General features: G+C 39.8%; 1 protein-coding gene across 6 annotated transcripts in view; it reads left to right on the forward strand.

Moving 5' to 3' along the window:
• The window catches only part of RGS7BP (regulator of G protein signaling 7 binding protein), a 106,305-nt gene that overhangs the window by 70,968 nt on the left and 10,995 nt on the right, over positions 1–24,342 (forward strand). For 4 of the 6 annotated variants that reach the window (XR_948251.4, NR_073511.2, NM_001029875.3 and 1 more), the window contains 2 exons: positions 17,728–17,875; positions 21,383–21,453. Coding sequence is in view for 4 of the 6 variants with exons in the window: in NM_001029875.3 (NP_001025046.1) it covers positions 17,728–17,875; positions 21,383–21,453 (219 nt within the window). In the remaining 2 variants the exon portion in view is untranslated. Of the gene's footprint in view, positions 1–17,727; positions 17,876–21,382; positions 21,458–24,342 lie in introns of those variants that run through there. The other 2 variants (XM_005248502.5, NM_001271891.2) reach the window with 2 other exon arrangements.

The raw sequence follows: 24,342 nt of genomic DNA on the forward strand, positions 1-24,342 counted from the left end.
TAGAAATACTCAGGGAAAAGTTTAGGGTTCTGAAGGTAGGGTTCAGTTACGGAAGGAAAAAGAAAGATATTTCATATGAGGAAGCAATTAAAGGAAAGATTTAAAAATCAAATAAGCATTGCAATTTGGAGGAAACTAAAGGACATGATGAAGTACTTGTAAAAACCAAATCTTGGCCAGGCACGGTGGCTCACGCCTGTAATCCCAGCGCTTTGGGAGGCTGAGGCGGGCAGATCACGAGGTCAGGAGATTGAGACCATCCTGGCTAACACGGTGAAACCCAGTCTCTACTAAAAATACAAAAACAAAATTAGCCAGGCTTGGTGGGGGGCGCCTGTAATCCCAGCTATTCAGGAGGCTGAGGCAGGAGAATGGCATGAACCTGGGAGGCGGAGCTTGCAGTGAGCCAAGATCCGGCCACTGCATTCCAGCCTGGGTGACAGTGAGACTCCATCTCGAAAAAAAAATAAAAAATCTTGTGTACACATATACATATGCACACAGGTGAACTAAAAACAAGATCCTACTACATTGCTCCAGAGACAGGAGAACATTTTTCCCAGTATGTGAATATTATATCTTTCTCCTTTTGCCTTCTGAAGGCTGATTTTGCAAGGGTTTCCATCTTTACTTCTGTTATTAATATAAGAGAGATTAGCTCCTTGATACTCCTAATGCCTGATCAGGAAATTGAATACTTATGACATCCAAACTGATGTCATTGGCCTGATGTCTTTCTCTCTCTGTCTCTCTCTGACACATACACACACACAAACATGTACATGCATTCACACATAAACACGCATACAGAGTAGTATTTTCATTCTTTTTAGTGACCGAGTAGACAAGGGATAGGTAGTTTTATTCCCAGGTCTGCATTGGCTGCACCTGCAGGATTTCATGCCTTGTTGCCACTGGAATGTTCCTTGCTGATGGCATGTCCTTAACACCTGGTGATCTCTACTCCTAGTCCTGCTGTAGCTCCTCGATTTGCCACCTGGTCTCCTTCTGCCATCCACTCTTACTTTTTGTCTTTTCAGAACTGATTTTTGAAAAGGCAACAACAACTCTTCTCTGCTAGCTATCTGTTTATAAATAAAGGGGATTTCCCCATCCAGACTGCTTTCTTGTTGCATTTGGTCATTTCACGCAAATGAAATGCAGTCACCTCTTAACTGAGCAGCTCATTTGGTCTTCACTGCCTCCTGTCTTCACTGTCAGTTTCTGCTCTGCTTCCTTCTCTGCCTATTTTTAAAAAATAATCAGAAAAACTGCTGCCCCCTGCTCTAGTGCCTAAACTTCTGTGTACAACTCGTAAAAAGAAAATACCTGATAGTACCTTTGATTTCTCCCCTATGTAGGATTAAGTGTCCACTTGGATTTCTATCTTCTAAAATCATTATTAGTTAAAGTGTAATCCTTAGAAAACCTGCTTCACAATTATCCAGGATGCTGGATAAACATGCAGATGCCTGGATCCTATCCAAGGACCTACTGAATTCAAATCTCTGAGGGCACTCCAGGTGATTCTGAAACACATTGAGGATTAAGAACTGCTCCTCTACCCTTTGAGACCAAAAAAATGTAAATCACACCCCACCCTCCGTATAAATAAAAGGAAAAACTTCCAAGCCCTTACCATGCCATTCTGCTTTGCTACTGTCTACTCCCCTAAGTGTACACTTTCAATGTGGCTTTATGCGTTCTTTCTCCCCCATGCTGATGAAAAGCAAATACAAAAGGAGTAGGTGCCTGTGATGAATGTGATCTGTGTGATGGCTCATACAGTGCATTGTCTCCATGAACTGAGGATGTGACCACTGAAATAGGCAGTGGTTCTCAAAGTGCAGTCCCTGAACTAACAGCATTGATGTCCAAATCATTTGTTAGAATTGCAAATTCTTAGTCCTCACCCTAGACATACCAAATCAGAAATGCCTCTAAAGTTACTTTTTTTACTGCTGGAAAAAAATAAAACAACAAGTCATTGAGATATTTCTTCAACTGAATATATGTATAACCCCTGATCACCATCTGTAGCCAGCAAACCATAATTCTTTACTCTTTTTGGAAGTATGCATGTACCCTACACTCCTGGCAAGTCTCTTGTGTTTCCAGAATGCAAGTCCAAGAACTAGCTGTCCTATAGACTGTTACTTTTCTCTTGGTACCAGTAGAGTTAAGGCAATGAGGAGGAGGAGACTGCTTTATTGGTGAGAAATTCTCAATTAAGTTAGGAGTAAAGAAAATAGTAACATGTAGGCTTGAGAAATATATTGAAGGCTGGGCACGATGGCTCATGTATGTAATCCCAGCACTATGGGAGGCTGAGGTGGGCGGATCACGAGGTCAGGAGTTCAAGACCAGCCTGACCAACATGGTGAAACCCCATCTCTACTAAAAATACAAAAATTAGCTGGGTGTGGTGGCATGTGCCTGTAATCCCAGCTACTCAGGAGACTGAAGCAGTAGCATCACTTGAACCCAGGAGGCAGAGGTTGCAGTGAGCCGAGATCATACCACTGCACTCCAGCCTGGGCAACAGAGCAAGACTCCATCTCAAAAAAAAAAAAAAAAAAAAAAAAAGGAAAGAAAAGAAAAGAAATATATTGAAGGTGGAGATAAGCCACTAGCAGTAAGCATGAAAGAAAATATCATTAAACCAGAGAAAATAAAGCACTAGCAAACATATGCATGAAAATATATACTAGACAAATTTCCTGAAAATTTGTGGAATGACAAATAAAATATTAGCTTTTGGGGAGGGGTGATTACATTAAAGAAATCATTTTTTAATTTTTTAGTTACACATTTGTATGATACATCCTTTCTATTTCTTTATTCTCACCATTAATTTCTTTATTACACCTAAGGGATTAACACTATATTAATACTTTGGACTCCTGGCTTGTTTGTATTGTGTGCTAATTCATATTCCCACCATCAAGACAGCATAGAAAATGTCAGCTGGTGCCACTAGGTTTTGTTCTTTCTTTGATAACATTGGAAACCGTAGAGCAACCTGTCTGCCCAGGAACCTCTAGTTAATACACAAGTATATGACTCTTTGGGAGGCTGTGGTTAAAAGAATAAGAATACTTGGTTCCAGTGACCATGAATAGCCAGAAATGAGTTGAGGAAGAGATAGGTCCATAGACCACAACCCAAGAGTATTAAACTATAACAGAAGAGTTAGACAAATTAAGAGACATAACATGTGTCTTAGAACCCTTGAAGCTTGGAGCACCTACTCATAAAAGTAGACAGAGAGGAGTCAGGAAGCCTTACTGCCTATAAGAAGTGAGAAACCTTACTACTTACTACCATCGGAGAGAAAGGCAGACAAATGTTTCATCTTCATAAAAATAAGAAATGGGGAAGGAATGGGGAGCAAGGCTATGCTAATATGACTTAAGGCCCTGAGTCAAGATGCATGATTAAGGAAAAGTATGTATAGGCTCAAAATGAGCAGTGGATTAAGAATTGAAATGTAGGTAATTCCAAATTTCAGGCAAGGTGGTGGAGGTAGCAGGAGAAAGCATGGATCAAGAAATTAGTCTCCTTCCCCCCAGAACTGATATAAATCCATATAAATATATAGGTATATAAAATATAAATATAAATATATTTATTTAATTTTATATGTCATATCTTAGCAAAAATGACCATTTACCCAATGGAAAGAAGTCTGTTTACTGAGATTTAAGATGCCAGACTAGTTTTTACAAGATAATGTACTCGTAACCAAACAGTGGTACCACTGGTGTGGCCTCAGGTTAAGTATTGAGCCTGTCTGGATGAACTCACTAAATGCCTTCCTTTGAGAAATAAAATAGTCCCCAGAGTTTTAGGGGAATTTTGGCTCACATTCTAATCTAACACTTGAAATCTCTTTCTGCATAGAATCTCTATCTGGTTTGTTTCTTTTAATGCTATAATAAAAACTGGAGGCCAGGTGTGGTGGATCATACCTGCAATCCTAGCACTTTGAGAGGCTGAGGCAGGAGGATCACTTGAGCCCAGGAATTTGAGACCAGCCTGGGCAACATGGTGAGACCCTGTCTCTACAAAAAATACAAAAATTAGCCAGGTGTGGTGGTGCATACCTGTAGTCCCAGCTACTTGGGAGGCTGAGGTGGGAGGATTGCTTGAGGTGGGATGCAGAGACTGTAGCGAGCCAAGATCACACCACTGCACACCAGCCTGGGTGGCACAGCAAGACCCCATCTCAAAATATACATAAAATAAAAACTGCTATTTTAATCCATTATGCAAGCCAAACTCTTTTCCCTCTGTGTGAGTGCTAAAAGTTTGCCATTCCCCTCTTCTTCAGCTTTGCTTTTCCATCAAGGAAAAATAAAAGGGATTGCAACTGAGTCACTAAATATGAGAGTCTCTAGTCAATTTTTCATTAGGATGAGATACTGAAGCCAAACTGTTTCATTTATCTATACATTTAATTTGTTTTTATGTCTATCTACCTCCCTGGCTGCCACCAGAAGTTCAGATAGAATTATGTACCTCACTTAGTTGTACTCTTGTATTGAGTAGTCAGGACATGAGTTTACTCTTTGGAGAGAAGGGGCACACAAGGCCACTGCAGGGGTTAAGAATATAGTTTCTTTCTGGGAAAAACAAGCTACAAATAACTTTAAATCTCCTGCAGTGAACTTGAATTTAGTAATGAAGATTTTCCTTCTCTCCCAATTAAGCAACTTCTAACTGTCTTTCTAGTCCTTAACAATATCTTCAATGGATTTTCATGTTTATTTCATGCACCATGCTTCTGAATTTTTGCTGTCTCATAAGTCTGATTGGTACAATCTACTTGGAAATCTTTTTTACTTTGCAAGATGATCCTATTGCCAAAGAAATGAAGAAAAACATTACTAAAGTGTTTTTCTTTTTTTATGGCCAACAACATGAAAGTAAAGTACAGTAACGTGAGGTAAAATCTACATATAATAAGGGCTACTGAGTTATATCAGATAGAGAGTGGCTCTGAAAAACTTTGTTTGTTTTAAGAAGGTGACAGATGGGAATAATTTTAGTCATCTTGTAGTTTCATATTCTAACACTTTAAGTTATAGATTGAAGCATTACTTGACAAAGTCTAATTTCTATGTTTATGGTGAAAAATAGTTGTTCTCACTTCTTCACAGTTAGTTAGGTAGGAAATCTTTTCCCATTACTGAGTCCATGTATCACATTGACCCTTAATGCCTGTTTTCTGCCACCAGATGAAAAGAGATTGCAGGTTTCACTCACTTCGTTGGCAGAAAGTGGAGCCAGGTTTCCAAGGGAATTGAATGATCCTGCCATTTTGACCATGGCTTTCCTCTCTCTTGCTTTCTTTTCCCAATTCAATCAGTTGTGGCAACAGCCCCATTCTGAAAAGAGCAGAGATGACAGAACACTCCAGTCCAGCTCCCCTTCACATGTGAACCTGCCCTTTCTATTTTTGTTCTCATTTTACCTTGCTCTGTCAGTGGTCCCCTCTGACTCTGCTTGTCCTCTCTGCCATAGCTTACAGCAAAATTGTCCCCAGGTCCTTTGAAGGTATACCATCCTCCCTTCCTCTCCCAAAGATAAGATGGGTTCTTTCCCCTAAAATGTGCTACCATGGTAAATACAGAGATAAAATATGCAGAGGAGATGTAATCACAAAAGGGAAAGAATAGAGAAATGTTAAAAGTTGAAAAATCTTAATTCAGAATCTGCTGGGAGCTAAGAGCTCAAGATGCACTAATGAGAAATTAATGAACCATCTTCCAGCAAAATACAGGATGAACTCAAGACAAAGAATAAAATATGAGCAGTAAAAACTCCAGTGTATTCAGCATCATATTAAGAAATATAAAGGAGGTGATCCACATCAATAAAAGAAGCCAGCAAAATAAAGACAGAAATAGAATATAGCTGCCTTATTTCCTAATGGAATGAGGCAATTGATACTAAAATAGAACAATGGATTAGAAGAAATAAAGCAGAATAAATCTTAGACATGATTCAAATCCTAAGTGGAAACATGCATTCATTCTTTGAAGAAATATTTGTTATCTATCATATGTAAGGCACTGTTCTGGGTGGTGAGAGACTGCAGTGATTAAGACTGAAGAGGTAGGCCAGGCGCAGTGGCTCACTCCTGTAATCCCAGTACTTTGGGAGGCCGAGGCAGGCAGATCGCTTGAGGTCAGGAGTTCCAGACCAGCCCGGCCGACGTGGTGAAACCCTTGTCTCTAGTAAAAATACAAAAATTAGCCAGGTGTGGTGGTGGGTGCCTGTAATCCCAGCTACTCAGGATACTGAGGCAGGAGAATTGCTTGAGCCCAGGAGGCAGAGGTTGCAGTGAGCCGAGATGACGCCACTGCACTCCAGCCTGGGCGACAGAGCAAGACTCCATCTCCCCAGAAATGAAAAAGACTGAACAGGTTTCTGTTTCTTGTGAAATATATATTCTAAGGCAAAGGGAGAGAGGAGAAAGAGAGACAGACAGAGCAGAGGTAGGGGGAGGGAGAAGAAAGAGAGGAGGGGAAAAGAAAGAACAGAAATAAACAACTTTTCTAAAAGTTCCAAATACTAATAAGTGCAATGAAAATAATTGAAATAGAATGGATGATGATGTAATAGAAAGTGACTGGGTGGCTACTTTGGAAGGGCTGGTCAAAGTTCTCTAAGGAGATAAAATTTAACCTGAGACTTGAACGACAAGAAGGAAACAATTTCATGAACATTCGTATTACCAATGACCAGAATAAGCATGTAGTGTTTGAAGAATATAAACATAACTAACTTCTGAAATCCAAGGATAATCTAAAGCCTTCTTCTACTCTATCTCCATGTCTTCATATACCAGTGAGTAGGACACTATTTGTCACCTTTAGTCAATGTAGATGTTGGCTGAAGAATAGGATAATAGCAATGACAATAGCTTCCACTTACTGTGTACCTTCTACTTGCCAGGTGCATTATACACATTATCTTATTTTATCCTCAAGTATATTTTCCCCATTTTACACATGAGGAACTCAAAGCTCAATGAGGTAAGTTGCCCAAGGTCACATAGCACATTTATCTCACTACAAAGTTTGTGGTTGTTCCACTGCACTAGACCATTCTTACTAAGCTACATTGGAGAAGGGCAGGAGGGCATATCAAATGGAGAAATAAAGGATAGTAGCACAGTTAGCTGAATTCTATCTTATTTAATGATTAGTGAGCATATTTCAAAACCATGCTTAATAGCTAAAATCCATTGTATATTTAGTTTCTTACCAAAATAACACTAAGTTGGGAGAGGTATTTTCAAGGGTGGAGAGAATTTTAACTCCATATATCATCTTATTTACAAAATATGTAAAATGGGTGAAAAAGTTTAATTCTAAGAAACTATTACATATAGTAAAAGTAAATAAATAAAATGAAACATTCACGTGATCCAAAAGGCATAGGAGTTAGCCCTGACACCCAGTATGGAAAAGTCTGAATTAATTAACTGTAGAGTGAATACATCTTAGACACTGTGCTGCTCTATGTTAGGGGCTGGAAAGGGAGCACTCAGAGCCCCATAAGGATATCCTTTGAACGTATCTTCTATTGTTTGCTCTTCTCCTGTGTTCCAAGGGGGCTCTGTGCTTCTTACACAGCTACTTGGCACTACCATGAAGGCTGCTACTCTGGGGGCTGTGGCAGTGCCACAAGGAGCACAGAAGAGGCCAAAGGGCAGTAGGAGAAGGGGATGGTTTTGTATCTCTTCTGAACTGGAAAATGTTTATCTCCCAGTACATGGGAAGAATGGAGCTCCGGGTATGGCATAATTATTATTTTTTGCCATGTGTTTTATGGCCCTAAGAATATCTTCTTACCACAGTGTGGAAAAACCTTTGAAACTGCTTTTTAATATGGGTAAATGACTAACTGAATTAATATAATTTATTTCTATTTAAGTTACATGCTTTTTAGAAACACAAGAGAGTAAAAGTGGATTACTTTAAAAAACAGCCTATACTTCCCCAGTCCTTTTCACAGTGCACGGAGTTAAAAAGCACCTAGCAGTTATGAAAATGCATGAGAATTAGTATAACTGTTTGGATTCATAAGCATCCGTGAATCTAATGTAAGCCATGTTCATTTTGTTGTTCGCATTCAGTCAGTATGAAAACTGCCCTGCAAGCCTGTTCAGTGCATAGTGTCATAGCAGGTAATGTGTCAGGAGCACAAAGGATGTAGGAAATTTACTCCTGCCACCAAGGAAGTGATAGGGCACTGATACAGTATTATCCCAGAGAAGATTGGTTTATTCTGTTTTGATTCCTGGAGAAATTTACTCAAATGGATAAATTCACTTTACTGGACAACAGAGACCAAACTAAGGACATCCAAAAAGATATTATCTATGGCAGTGCCTTCCATTGTCACTGGCAAGCTGAAGACAGGCAGGAAAGCAAGAAGGAATGGAAGGGGCAAAGAAAAGAGGAGTGGGGAAAACACGAGTGGAGGAGAAAGGATGGGAGAAATAAGAGATGAGAAGGAAAGGGGTCTCTAGAGTGGGTGTGATAAAGGACTCCCAGCCCACTCCTCTGGTGCCTGTGCCAAGGACTCCTAAAGCTGCGAGTGCTCTATTGCACCCCTGAGACTGCCCCACAATCAGATGTGTTTTTGTTTCTCGTGAATGACCGGCAATTTCTCACGAATATAAGAATAACCAACCTTTCAATTTGTTATGTGCTTCATGGGTGGCTTCCCTTAAATTTTCCTCAAACATGCCTATTACATTATCCATAAACAAGCTAAAAATACATAGAAATCCCCAAGGAGCTGAAGGCTAAAAGCTTTGCAAGACTTTAAGGAAAGTGGCCAAGTTTTTGATGTCCTAGTTCTAAACAGTGATGCAACCAGCATGGTATGATTTTAAGGTGCTCTAAGGGTTCTCTTCCTCCCCTACCCCATCCCCTCCTGAGCAAATATTTGTTCACCGAGGCCTGAAATGGATTTTTCAGGGGACAGAGTTTTTCATTTCATAATAAGAAATGATTTTAAATGTACAACAACTCCCTTGGGCAAAGCAAAACATTGACATGAAGTCACCATTTGGAAGCACATGTTGGCCTCTTTTCCAAGAAGAAGGCAAGGAGCCCACCTGATATGTGAAAACAAGTACTGAATTCTGAGGATAACCTGCCAAAGGGGGTGATGCTGGGGATGAAGAACTCAAATTGGCCACTTTCCAGGTTTGGATGGCTCTGCTGACTCCTTAACGTGGCTCAGAAGAATATCTATGAACTGACCCTGAAAACCTCTCCAGTCTCATATCTCACCAGTAATCCCCACCTCGCCTGCCCTTATACCCTGCCCTACCCCACTTGAATCATCTTGAACTACTTTGAGGAACATCAACTTGCAAGTTCCTTCCAGTTTTTTCCTCTGCCTTGGACATATGACCCATCCTACCTCACCCTACCCCTGTCCCTTTCACTTGGCTCATCCCTATACTTTCTTTGGGTCATAACTTAGATAACTTATGAAGGTCATAACTTTCTTCAGATTTTCCTGACCCTCCAAGCCTGGGCCAATGCCCACTCAATGTGTCCCTCAAGCATTTCCATGACACTAATAATGGCATATGTTACATTGAGAGGTGGTTGCCTGGTTTCTTACCTATTGTCCTCTCTAGACTTTGATCACCATGAGTATGTTCACCGTTGTATTCCTAGCACCTAGCAGAGTGCCTCAGGCAGAGTAAAGTTTCAATTAATGGTTATTGAATAAGTGAATAAATTGCTTTAGTTCTGTATCTATTGTCAAAACAAAGAGAGTATAATTAGAGGAAAAGTTTATCCAGAGATGTTGGACTGAACTTACCCATATATTTTCCTTCCTGGTGCAAATCCACTGAAATAATGGAAAAACATGTAATGAAAGGAATAAATCCATACTAGTTCATGTATTTGTCAGGGTAGGGTAACTACTGTATGAGACAATACCAAATCTCAGTGGATTAGAACAATAAAAGTTCATTATTCACTGATGGCATAGTCCAATGCCAGAGCTGGGTAGAGTGGGCAGTGTTGCTCTTTCCATTCTCTGCATTCATCAAATGGTCAGGGGGAAAACAAGGAAAACCTGAGCGATCGTATAGGAGGACTTTTAGGGGCCAGTCTGGAAGAGGTGTACATCACTCCTGATCAGAGTCCATTGGCCATAGCTCTGTCACACAGCCATTTCTAATAGTAAGAGGAAAAGAAAATAGAGAATGACAAACACAAAACAGTCTCCCACAACCTTGAAAAACAAGGAAGGATGACTTCAACAAACTAGAAATTTTGAGAAATCTGTCAAAGCTAAAAAGCAATTGGGATTAGACTGGTGAAAATAAAACAGAGGAAACCCTAGCAGATAAGAAACTCAAGAAGAAATTCAAGCAGGAGAAATTTTCTGTGAAAATGAGGTCAATTCCAGAGATTCTTCAAACTCAGAGTCCACAAATATAAATCATGGGAAAGATTGCTGGAACTGCTGTCAGGAAAATTAATGCTCAAAATTGCATTAAGGAAAAGCTGGGCTACCCCACACTGAGCAGCAGAGACTATCAGTGCTTGCCCCAGGAGGACACTTTGTGCTAAGTGTCAGGACTGAGCAGCAAAGCAGGAAAGAGTATAAAATAAATCTGAGCCTCCATAAGGACAGCTGCAGAAGAAAAAGAAAGTGAGCACATGACTACAGTGCTTTTTCCAGACTAAATTGCTCAGTATATCTCTCTGGAATAGGGGTTGTAAACAGGAAACTTAGAGCAGGCACAGGGCCAAAAACAGGCAGGGTACCCAGGTACCCATTGGAGATGGCAAACTCTCACACCTAGAAGAAATGCTTTTGACACATATTATCCAGCCCTTTTTGACACACCCCCTTCTCCATCATCATCAGAAGGAGGACACTGTTATTAATAGACAGACAGAGGTCCTGAAAAACAAATTTGAACAGACATCCAGGAATGACAAGATTTTTAAGGAAAACAAACACTATAAAAAGGAGATACCAAATATAACAAATGATTAATACTTGAAGAACAAATGTTAAAAGTGATAAAAAATTTAAAATATATGTGATCAATATATGCAAAGAGATTTATGAGTCTGCATATTCATAAAACAATTTTTGTCTGCAACATAAAGGAAGCAGCCAGATTTGTTGGAAGTAAAAATGTTATCAATCAAATAAAAATAGATGGGTTAATTAGTGTTGGGAGACAATTCTCCATTGGTCTCTCACATTCGGCACATCTTGCAAAATGGGGCACTGACTGCCCTTTGTTTTACCCTATCTTCTCAAGGATGTTTATTTAGGAAATGCCTTGGAAAACAGAGACAGTGTTTCTTCCAGAGCAAGGCATACTTCCTATTCAGTATAATGAAAATGTTTCCCTCTTCAGCAAAGGGCAGACATGCTTATAAAAGACACAGAATCCCTAAGCTCAGGGTTCTCCCCTCCTGTCACGCAGCCCACTGTGTGTACAGGTAGTGTTTGGCCCTTTTGCTCCTCACTGTGGGAATTAGGACTCAAAAAAACCAGCACAAATGCTAATCCTCTTGCTACTCCTATTCTGTGAGTAATAAACTACCTTTGTATCTGACCGAGAAATCTCATGTCTTCTTCCAGTATCCATGAAACTACAATAGGCTAATTTGCAAGTAAGGTAAAATCTCAAACTTTTCACAGTTCTTAACATTATCATAATGGAAATACTGAGAGCCCAAAATGGTGGACTGAAAGATGAAGTCAAGGTATTCTCCCAGAATTCAGCCCAAAAAATCATTTGAGTATGGAGAGTACTTAAAAAAATGTGAAAGACTGAGCCAGAGACTCCAATATAAAATAGCAATTCGGAAAGAACAGAGAGAATTGAGAGAAATTGATAATCAAGAAAAATAGAAAACAATTCCCCAACCCTAAAAAAAAAATAAATATCTAAAGTTAAAATATTAGAGTATCTCAATGAATCGCTTTGTAGATTACTTAATAGTTACTGAGGGATGGGTAGGTACGGTGGCTCATGCATGTAATCCCAGCACTTTGGGAGGCCAAGGTGGGTGGATCACTTAGGGCCAGGAGTTCAGACCAGCATGGCCAACCTGGCCAAATCATGTTTCTACTAAAAATACAAAAAAAATTCCGGGCATGGTGGTACACACCTGTAATCCCAGCTACTCGGGTAGGTGAGACACAAGAATTGCTTGAACCTGGGACGCAGAGGTTGCAGTGAGCTGAGATCACAACATTGCACTCCAGACTGGGCAACAGAGACAGACTCTGTCTCAAAAAAAAACAAAAAAAAAAGTTACAGAGGGGAAAAGGATGCGTCTACAATGGTACAAGCTGGCAGAAACCACATTAAACAAATGATTGATAATACTTAGCATCATGAATAAGACAAACTGACTCACATTCTTTCTGGTGTGATGCACTAAGGACACAGTATCACCCCTATAATATTCTTGCCAAAAAAATGTTTATTCTGAATCTAGGCATGTGGGACCCATCAGACAAATCCAAATGGAAGGTCATTATATAAAACAACTAACCTGAACTCTTCATTCAAAAATATTCATGACATTGAAAATGAAAAAGGCAAGGATGCTGTTCTAGATTAAAAGAATATAAAGTAACATGACAGGCCATGCACAGTGGCTCATGCCTGTAATTCCAGCACTTTGGGAGGCTGAGGTGGGAGAACTGCCTGAGGCCAGGATCAGTTTGAGCAACACAGTAAGACCCCATTTCTACAAAAAATAAAAACAAATTAGCCAGGCATGGTCTTGTATTCCTATAGTCCCAGCTATTGGGAGGCTAAGGAGAGAGGATCACATAAGCCCAGGAGTTCAAGGCTGCAGTGAGCTATTATCATCACTGCACTCTAGCCTGGGCAACAGAGCGAGACCCTGACTCAAAAAAAAAAAAAAAAGACACAACAAGTAAATGCACTGCATAGTCCTTAAATGGATCCCTCAATTTAAAAAGAAATGATAAAGTATTTTATTGAAACCATTGGGGAAATTTAAATATAGACTATATATTAAATAATAGTATAGAATCAAATTGTATTGAATCATATTTAATCAAAGTTAAAAAAAATTGGTGCATCCCTAGGTATAGATAAAAGAGAAGAGAACAGTGTCATACCAGTTATTAGAAAAACTTAGTTTGAACATGAATTTATATATCCAGCCAGTTAGAATCTAAGTGTGAGCACCAAGAGGGAGAGAGAGAGAGAGAGAAGAAAATCTATTTTCGGTCATATAAAAACTAACGAATTTTGCATTCCACAGATCTCCTCTGAAATAATTAGTCAAGGATATGCTCCCAAAAATGAAAACTGAATTCAAAAAAGAAGAAGATATGTTTGAAATCCAAGAAAAAGTGGTATACAAAGAAATCAGGAGCCATAAATAAACAGCATTAGGGTATGAAACAGTTCCAAGAGAAAACTGCATTCAACTTTATGCTATTAAAAATGTATTCTGTGGATTGTTTTCTAGGACGAATGAATTATCAAAATTAATGTAAGAAGAGAAAACATTTTAAATAAACCATTAAACCCAGACAATACTTAAAAAATAATCAATGATTCATGCTTTAATAAAAGTCAAAGTCTTACATGATAGTAATTTATAGTTTCCTTTGCAGTGGATTCAAAATTTCAAAATTCAAAAATGTCAGTGGAAAAAGTACAGTGAAGGAGAACTTTCTGTACTGAATACTAAAAACATAATAATTAAAATATCATGGAATTGCCACAAGGATAAACAAATAAATATAAAATAAAACAGTATATCCAGAAATAAACCCACATTTATGTAGGAACTTAATATATTAGAAAGAGCAAAGTCAACAGAAAAGTCATTAAATGCTGTTGGGGCAATTGGCTCTTCATTTGAGCTAAAAATTTAGATTATTATACCATACCACATACAAAAGTAAATTACAGATGAATTATAGAACTGAACATTTCAAAACTGTGCAAGTATTAGAAGAAAATATAGGCAAGGCACAGTACTAAAAGACATAAAAGATGAACAGCTTTGACTATACAAATTTAACTTTTGACAAAATACATTACAAACAAAATTAAAAGACATAATAGAGTAAGAGATATAAGCAGTATATACAGCAAATGATCAGTATCCATTATATGGAGAGAACCCCTACAAATCAATAAGAAACCCAACCCATTGTTTAAATGGGCAAATTACACAAATAGAAAATGTAAAGAAGAAACACAAGTGGTCAATTAAACATAGGAAAATAAATGTTTACCTATGTAACAAACCTGCACCTATACCCCTGAACTTAAAAGTGTTTTTAAAAAGAAAGTAAAAAACAAAAAAAGAAAAGAAGTTTAACCTCGGTAGTAATAAAGGAAAAGAAAAATAAAAATAAAAGTGCAATGAGATTCTATTTCTCCCCATTAGATTAGCAAAAATTAATGTTGATAATATGAAGTGCTGGGAAAGGGGTGGGGAAATGGGCCCTCTGGTTTACCACTGGTGGACGTAAAGTGTAAATTAGCATAGCCTTTTCAGAGGCCAATTTGGCAATATATATTAAAATTTAAAATGTGCATACATATACTTTATCTCAGTATTCTGCCTCAAAGGATCTGTTTTACATAAATATTGGCATATTGTGGAAAAAGAGAACAATTAAAACCTAAATTCTTTATTATGGAATACTGCCCATCCATTAGAAAGCATTCCATCAATTAAAATGCACTAACAGGAAAATATCTCTAAGCTGGACTACAGTAGCAAAGTAAGTTGTATAACAACATATATAGTATAATTACATTTTTTAATGCTGTATATCTATTGAGATACTACTGTGTGTAAGCCTTGGTCTTTGGTAGTAGACTTATAGAATTGAAGAAAACAGATAAAATTATTGGCCTTACAAAGATTACCTATGAAGTTTGGAGATGAGAGATGAGTGTGGGGCTGGGAACAGCAAACAATAAACTAGTAAGCAAATACATAAGCAAGATCATTTCTGATAGTGGACCTTTCTATGAAGGCCATAAACATGTAATGTGGTGGAGAAGAATCCTAACATAAAGTCGGTACTATCGGTAAATGAGAGCAATTATAATCCACTTGCAGAGTAAACTTGACACCACATACATTCTGGAATTGAAAACCCCTTAAATTCATATTGATCTTTTCTGTCTTTTAAGACATGTTAGCTAAAGAAGATACCATATCAAACTTCTGCAGGGATTTTGTGAGCTGACAGAAAGCCCTAAACTGAGGGCCAACATTCACGGTTTCCATTCTGGTTCAGCTACATTAGCAGAATTAGATCTAAAAGTCACCAAAAATAGGAAAAGTAGGTTATTACCTGCCTTTACAAGCCCATAGGGCTGTTTCAGGATCTTTGAAATCTTTAAAATGATGTTTTACTTTGAAAAAGTTATGGAAGGGCATTTGTCTTGTAAGCAGCAGAATAATCACAGGTATTAAGTATAATCAAAAGTGTTGTCAACTAGATCCCATTTATGGCTTTGCATGTAAAAGGTGTGATATGGAGGAGGTGGAGAGAGGACTCCAACAAGGAACATCACATTTCCTGGTGTCCTCCCTTGTCCCCATTGGAATAAAAGCTTCAGGCTCTATAGTCTGGACCTCAGGACAAGGAATAATATGGCCCCAAAGCTAGACAAAGCCCATAAACCAGAGAATTCTGGTGAATCTTCTTCCCCTCCTCCTCTGTGATGCCCAAACCATACTCCATTCACCAAGGCATTTCGAACCCACAGGAGTGTAACAGAGGCCTTCAGGTTTTGAAAAGCAGAGGACTGTTTTGGGAGAGTCCTCATTTTGCTGCTTCCCCTCATCTCAGCTACCCCTGCTCAGACTCACATCCTAAGGCTGACCCTGCCTAGAGATACATGACTGGTAGACTGACTGCACTTGCCACACTCTGCCAAGAGGCAAAATGCAAATGCTTTTAAGAGGTCAATGCCCTCCAACTGTGAAATGGTAATGTGCTAAATTATGTGCTTAATTAATTTCCCCCCAAGAGCATACCATAAAATTGGAAAAACAATTCCTCAGGCAAGTCCCATCACCCAGGATCAATGCACATAAAGTACACAGGAAAGGATCAAAGTTTCTCATGAGTCAATGTGTGCATGTGCTCTGGCTGAATATTCCGAGTTCCACTATAGGTTCCACTATAGGTTGGTGAAAGGCATACAACCAATTAAATTGCTTTGCTCTTTCTCCTTCTGTTGTTACCACATGGGTTAGAAACTTCAGGGATGAGATTTTTGCTACTTCCCTCCAGCAGGAATCCAAGGAAAAAACTTCCTGTTAGATTTTACCATGAGCAGCCATCCTCTTCACAAGTTTGTAGGTTTTATTTTTTATTAGTTTTCTTGTTAATGCAAAACAATCACAGCAGGATTAGGGAAACTGAGCTAAAAGGTTAGGTGATATAGCCACTACCTCATGAATATTCAGTGATATGGGCTGTAACAATTACTTAACAACTAGTCTGGAGTTATATCTGCATGACAAAAATAAAACTGGATAAAGGAGGCAAAAACACTATATATAATAGCTACCCTTTTTTCCAGACTACATAATGTTATACAACAGCTTTGTAATTATTTGTATAATGTTTTTATTGTTTAACTCCAGCACTGTAAGCTCCATGAGACAGAGACTTTCTTTCACCTCCATATCTCTAGCATGAATCCCAGTGCTGGTAGCTGACACTCAAGATATATTTGTAAATGAGTGAATGAATGAGTGAGTGAATGAATGAACAAATGACTAAGCCAGGTTTAAAACCCAGTTCTCGGGCCTACTTGACCATTTCCATGATACTAGGATACCCCCCTATGGATGCACAGATTTTCAAGAAAGAATAAAAGACATTAAGAGATTGTGCCTAGGCCATACGACATAACCTCCCACTTAATTTCATATAAATTTATGGCTGAACCAGTTTGGAGATTTGTTTCCAGAAAGTACTGATTTATTCAGTTGAGATCAATCATGGTAAATACAAGTCTTAGTGGGTAGGTAGTGCATTGCTGTGGACGGCTACCTACTACATGGCATTCACATTTGAGTTGACGGTGTTTTATGGTCTCAGCGGTGTAAGGCTGGATCAAGGTCAGGCTTTCTCCTCATAGAAGGATGTGTTGAAGGAGGTTGGAGAGCCAAGGAATTGGAAGACACCTGCATGATCCCTGCTGCATGCTGAGAGGGCCAGTGTCTAGAATCAGAGAAAACAGCAGGAGCTCTCATTCTTTCTGCTGGGTGTCACCTGCTCCTGGCCCTTTTACCTGCTCCTGCATCTAAGCACCAAAAGCCAGTAGGTTTCACAAGCTAAATCCCCCCTCCTGAGCTAACTTAATCTAATTCACTAAGAATGGGTTATAAAACACCAATACTCTATCAAAGACAGGGGCTTTAATATTATCTTGATCTTTAGGTTGCATTGACCTCAAACTGTCTTTCCCGGAATGTTGTGAAAACATGCTATACACACAAACACACATACTCATACATGTATATACCTAATTATTTTATTACTCAGAAAGCTATTAGGGTTAATGGAACATTTGACTCAAAGCATAGCCAACCTTAGCACTGACATCCTGCATATAGAACCTGCCTTTATGATTTCTTTTTCCTCTTCTCTTTACCAACACCCTCCCTCCCTTAGGAAAGGAACCTGGCGGGGGAACCAAGAGTTTGGATTGCAAAATTGAGGAGAGTGCTGAAACACCTGCCCTAGAAGACTCCTCATCATCCCCCGTAGATAGTCAGCAACATTCCTGGCAGGTTTCCACAGACATTGAGAACACTGAAAGGTAAGTGGGAAGTTACCCTGAATAGACTGCCAATCCTCCTCCCGTTAATGTTCTTAGGGGCCACAGAGAGACGAGGTTTTCTAGTTCAGATTCAGAAACAGAGCTTTCTTTGGTATGCCAGAGGAGCATAGTGCTGTCAGGGACCCTGGAGACTGCCTAATCTGCAGACAAGAAAACTGAGACAAGAGAGGGTAAGCAGTCCAAATCCTGCAGAGGAACACTAGCAACACCCACAGTAGGCACAGGCTCCCAGGCCTCTGCTTCTCCCACTCCAACACATTGCATCTCCATGGAAAATGAGAACAGTGTGCTGCCTTGGAGGGGAAAAAGTCTACATGCTGTCACAGTTCACCTACTGGGCTGGTACCCAAAATTCCCATTTGTTTAAGGGAGAAAATCCAAAATTACACAAAGATGCCTCCAGTAAAGTCTCGGGTTTCAGGTATATGGAACAGCCTGCTTAGCTGCCATTTAGGGGCTGAGCATTCTGTCCAGTTCACAAAGGGCTTCTCCCAGGGCCCCCTTCTCTTACTCTCCACAAGGTGGCTGATGGCCCCTCAGTGGTCAAAGCAAGTTAATGCATTTTCTTAACTTCAGTAGCTCACTTCTAGAGAGGCAGTTTCTTTCTTGAAAAGAAGAGACTCTACAGTGATTTTATTTTATTTAGGAAAAGGGAGTAATAATAATAATATTATAATAAATACCATGTCCCATCTAGATGCTAAAAATGACATTCTGCGAGGCAGAAAGATAAGCCTCTTGTTTATTTGCCTTTACACTGATATCTGTGCCCTTTGCTACTAATGTCCCCAGAGCTGGCACCAAGCAGCTGAATGAATACTGGGCAATTCCACTGAGTGTTCTGTGTGTATGAGGTTAAGTCACTGACAACATAATGAACATTTTATTTTTTTTTATTTTTAGAAATGTAACACACAATGGCATTTATAGCCATTGTGGTTCTACTTTCAGATTGTGATATAATTCTAAAGCTAATTACCGAATTTCTGTGTTTATAGAAAATTGGAGCATGTGGTAATTATGTGCTATTAATAAAACTTGGATTTTGTATAAGCTTGGAAATGCAACAATTCAAACAATAAAGCTGTTTGGCACCGTTTGATGGCACTATAGACAAATGATGAGGGAGTGATTTATCTTAATTTATAAAGTAGAAAATTCTTAGCTCTGTTCCCAGGGAAAAAAATATCTGCTGAAATGCCATATCAGGGCATAAACATCAGTGAAACCATTTTACTTTGCAGACCTTAGACAGCAGCTATATTCACGCCTTATAAGCTTATAAGAAGGGATGGCAGTAAGAGTAGGATAGTTAAGGCCCACAACGTTGGCAATGTTTCAGTTCAGCCTGAAAGCCCAGATTCTGGTCAAAGGAGATGGAGGTGGGCACAGTGGACCTGGTCCAGGATGTGGCTAACTCCGTTCTCCCTGGCTGTCTGCCTTGAGAGATCATGGGTCTCAAACTGGACTGCACAGTTAAGTCATCAGGAGGGAATTCTTAAAATACTGATGGCTGGGCCCCACTATAAGCCAACTGAATCAGGCTCTCTTGGGGTGAGACCTGGGCTTAAGGTGATTCTCCTGTGCAGCAGCCAAGGTTGAGAATTGGTGCTTTATTAGAGGAGACAGTGCCTCAATCCCCCATGTTGCATTCCTAGCCCTTTCTCACCCATTCCATCTGTCCTTGAGATCTTACATGAAAACAGACTGTGCCTTGCACTTGTGGAGGTGGGGCCACACTTCCTTTCTCCTGCCCTCCTCTCTCACTTGATCAGCATGCAGCCCACAGATACATCCTCACACCTCGCACCCATGAGAGTGGATTTGGAAAGTTTTTACAGGTATATTTCCGCAGATCCTCAAGGCTGCTTTCCCTTCCTTTTCCAATCAATTATTACTGAGACTTGAGTTCCTCTTCACATATCAGTCAATACTTGAAAAGGAGCTCCCATGAGGTCTCCAGAATTACCCTAAGAAAACGATCCTCAAACCGTGCTCAACAGAACTGTGGTGTTTTGTGAAATGGACTGAGAGGTTTCATACCTAAAATTAAATGGTGACTGTCTTTCCTCAAATAACAGAAGAAAAATAAGTGGATAGAATTTCTTCAACTTTAAGATGATCTTCCCCACAAAACTTTCCTAAACCCATGGTGCCTGCCAATGCTTGCCTATCCTCAGTTAATTAAAGGATGCATCTGCTTTTTGTACCAAATTATGTTCCTGGCTATTTTAAATGAAATCTGCCCCTATGTCCTGGGGTCTCAAGAGCACTTTCTCCAATGCACAACCATCTGGACGTGTGTAGGGACAATTGTCCCAAGGGTTTCAAAAGATGAGTTCTCCCCTACCTTAGACTAGAAGCCTCCTGAGATGGCTTCCTGCTTTACAATTCTGGGGTTTTATGACCATGCATGCTCTGAGATGAGGGAAGATATTGGATGTATGCAGTGGCATTGCATGCTGTGTGCTGAAGTCAGGAAGTGTGGGAGGACGGTCCATGCTAAAGGAAGGCCCAGCTGTACCCAGGTGGGGTTGTTTTCCCTCTTGTTCCCATACTGCGCCCCTTTCTGTTTCATCCATTGTAAGGAGCTCTTTTCTGGAAGTTTTAGAATTTGTTACTCTTTCATTATTCCAAGTCAATGTAATAAGTGTTGGTCCTGGTGAACGCTTAATACCTGAGTTATGCTGAATTCCAATCGTAGTAACAAGAGACTATTAAAACCAAGCAGAAGATGGAATTGGAGGCCATTGTCTTCAATGAAACAACTCAGAAAACAAAATAGCACATGTTCTCACTTGTAAGTGGGAGCTAAATGGTGGGTACACATGGACATGGGGTGTGGAATGATAGACATCAGAGACTCAGAAGGGTGGGAAGGTGTGGGGGGTGAGAAAATACTCAGTGGGTAAAACGTACATTATTGGGGTGATGGATGCCCTAAAAGCACAGACTTCACCACTATGCAATATGTCAAAGTAACAAAACTACACTTGTACTCCTTAAATTTACACAAATTTTAACAAACGAGCAAATAACAGCAAGTGAATGTACATAGCCACTATAGTCCTCTGACCATAAAGCCTTGATAGCACCATCACCCAGCCTCAAGTTTGCCCTGGGTAGCCCTGTTGCTCCAGTTGTACTTCCTTGGCCTCTCTTTGCAAATCTAAAGCACTGTCCTCGTGACCAATGGCTCTTCTCTGATCTCAGCCAGGTTCGACTGGAGGCAGAGATGAGGGCTCCTGCAGGAGAATGCCCTGTAGAAATGTTTGGCAGAATGGCTCTCACTTTTTCCTGAGCCAACCCATCTCAGATTTTTTTTCTTGTAAAAGCAAAATAAATTCAATATTTGCCTACTGGAAACTAGAGCTAGTGCAATTAGACACAGACCCTCATCTTTCAGTTGTCTCATATAACAGATTGTTTGAGATTTCATTTTGAAAATTTACAGCTGATTATTCTGTCTTTTTATCAATTTTACAGAGACATGAGAGAAATGAAAAACCTTTTAAGCAAACTCAGGGAAACTATGCCTTTACCATTGAAAAATCAAGGTGAGTCTTGTCACTTCTCTTTGAGGCAGAGGATGTTTTTAATGGGATAACCTTGGGAATTGTTTCTTGGAAATTAAAGCATGTGTCTCACACAAACAGTAGAAGGCATTGAGCATTCATTAGTCTTTCCTCAAGAAGATATCAAAATGAGACTAGAAACTCTCTGGTGAACACAGAATGCTCTGAGGGGGCCCAAGGTACATTATGACCTTAAAACGAACTCCTTCTCCACTGGCCCTATTACTCACTGTGGAAAGCACCATGCCAGGCACAGCAAGAGACTTAAGAACACCTACAAAGGAAGATCTCTGCCATCCACTTGTGTAATTATCTTTAAAAAGTAATCCAAAAAATTAACATATATTGAGAACTTACAGCATGCCACTATTCAAAATACTTTGCATGTATTAACTGTATTAACTTATTTAATTCTAAACAACTTTGAGGGAAATGCTATTAGTGTTTCCCAATTTACTAGAAACTGGCGCACAGAAAGGTTAGCTAAATTGGCCAAGGTCACACAGACTGTAAGTAGAAAAACTGGGATGTGAAATCAGGCAGTGTGTCTCCAGGTCTATCCTATGGGAGTATATGCCCTAATGCACAAATGAGAGGGAGATGTTCACTAGAATGAGGGAAAGTCCTCTGCATGCCTTTTAAACTATTGTATCCTCAGTATCTGGAGCCTGGGACATAGTAGAATAACACCTGTCACAATCGATGTTTGTTAAATCTGCACCTACCTTTGCAGCCCCAGAGACTGACGACATGTACAAAGGACCAATAATAAGTGCTTACATTAAGTATACATGGTTGGAGCAGCCACAGGTGAAGTACCAACTTCAGAGGATGGTACATAGAGGTGGAGAAAGGCTTCTAGGAGGCAAGAAAGAAACTCTTCTTGTTTTCAGTGAGCAAAGCCTGATGGGAGGGAAGACAGGGTGCCACTTGCCTTGAAGTGAGGAGGAGGAGGAGGAGGATTTGGCAGTGGAGCTGGAGGCTCCTCTTGGCTCCAGGAGCAGCTCAGCAGAAGGTGGAGGGGTGGAAGTGAGAACACCAGATGAAGAGGCTGAGGAGTAGTGTGGCCTGAGCTACACAGGGGTGGAGGTCAGAAAATAAGAAGCAGGGGCCACAGCACATCAGATAGCTCAGAACATCCCCTGAAGGGGCCTGGTCACAAAGGCCAACTGGCTTGAGCCACAGGCGTAGTGTTTTGAGAAAGTAGAAAACATGCTTTAGTGATGAGAGACTGCTCTGACCACCACATGGAAGATTGTTGCCAGAAATAAGCACAGTGTTTAGAACAAGGGCTTTGAATTAAGGATAGCCTTGGGTTCAAATGCAGGCTCTGCCACCTACCAGCTTTGCACCCTGGAACAAGTTGTTTAACTTCTGCAAATGTATTTCCTCATCCCTGCAAAGGGGATAATAGTATCACCTACTTTAGAAGTCTGTTGTGGGGATTAAATGAAGCAATGTGTCATACACCTACTACCAAACTTAGAGAGCAAACACTTGACACTGTTACTATTATTGTTGTCACTGTTATTATTATTATTTACAAGTTGGCCAACCCAGCTTTGCTCAAATCACCATCAAATAGAGGAATCCCTGCTACCACTCACTCTGCAACAGACCACGTGTAGTGTATATGTCAGGCTGGTCTTGAGCCTGCAATTCAAAGCATTGGCCCCAGGACTTTAGATCCACAGCTCATGTTTGAAGCTGTCCTCAGTGTCTTAATAGGTTTGGCAAGCCTCCTTCATCAGTAGCACGCTGGCCTCTCGCCCTCCCTCACATTCAGCTTTCCTAGAGGATGGCTGCCCAGGGTCCCCCAGTCTGAATTTCATGGGTGCCACGTCACCTATATTTTAAGCCACATCATCCTAAACATTCCCTCCCCATTTAGTGATCATTCATCCAGCAGTTTTTGACTGTGTGTTAATAGAAAAACAGAAATTTTGTTTTATTTGGTCATTTATAATCATAAAGAATATGATATAAATATTTTATGTGACTTTGTATCATCTTTATACACAGAAAAAAATAATTAGAATTTTAATTACATTTTTAAATGTAATAATAATAATCAAAGGTTGATACTGTGAGTGAAAACATGAGTGAAAAGGGAATAGTCATCAAAATAAATTATACTCAGGACTTGAACCTTGGATCTATCTGGGGAACAAAAAGGAAAAAGCTAGAAAGGAGACATAAGGACTTATTCAGAAGGAAGTGGTGCAGTAGGATTTTAATAATCAAAAATAACTAATGTAAAGGATTGTGAGGAATTTGAGTTTCTTCACTGAGGGGAGAAATGGGAACCCTTAGCATGTGACAATACATCTCTGTTCTCTATGTGTTTAACATGACCTCACAGCCTGCTGAGCTGACCAGTGGGGAAGGGGACTGTGTCTGAACTGGAGGATCCAGAGGAAACCTGAAGAGTCTCCCTGGGAACATTTTGACAGATGCATATGGCACCATTTTAATGAACAAATCATACAGATTCTTCCTGTTACATAGACTGAGATAGACCATAGAGGCTTCCCCAATTCCTTTCCGGAATTCTTTTCAGGTGGTTTATTTATTATACAGGTCTAATATGTGCAGGAAATGGTACAGGGTAAAATGTGGAAAAAAGTATTCCAGTTCTTTTCTGTAGGACCTTATTGTCAAAACATGATTCTAACGGGATGAAAACCATTATAGAAAGCCATCTGTTTTCTTTCTGCCTTCTTATTTCCTTTCTCTTTTTATTCCATTTCATGGGTCCTCAAATCAGAAAAAAAGGGAAAAGATACCACTCCTGGTCCCCATTTTTCCTATCTCAACTCCGACCACGTGAAAATGCTGCCGACTGAGTCCGCTATTCTCCAGGTTCTAACT

The sequence above is a fragment of the Homo sapiens genome, chromosome 5, assembly GCF_000001405.40.
Source record: "Homo sapiens chromosome 5, GRCh38.p14 Primary Assembly".
Taxonomy (NCBI): Eukaryota; Metazoa; Chordata; class Mammalia; order Primates; family Hominidae; genus Homo; species Homo sapiens.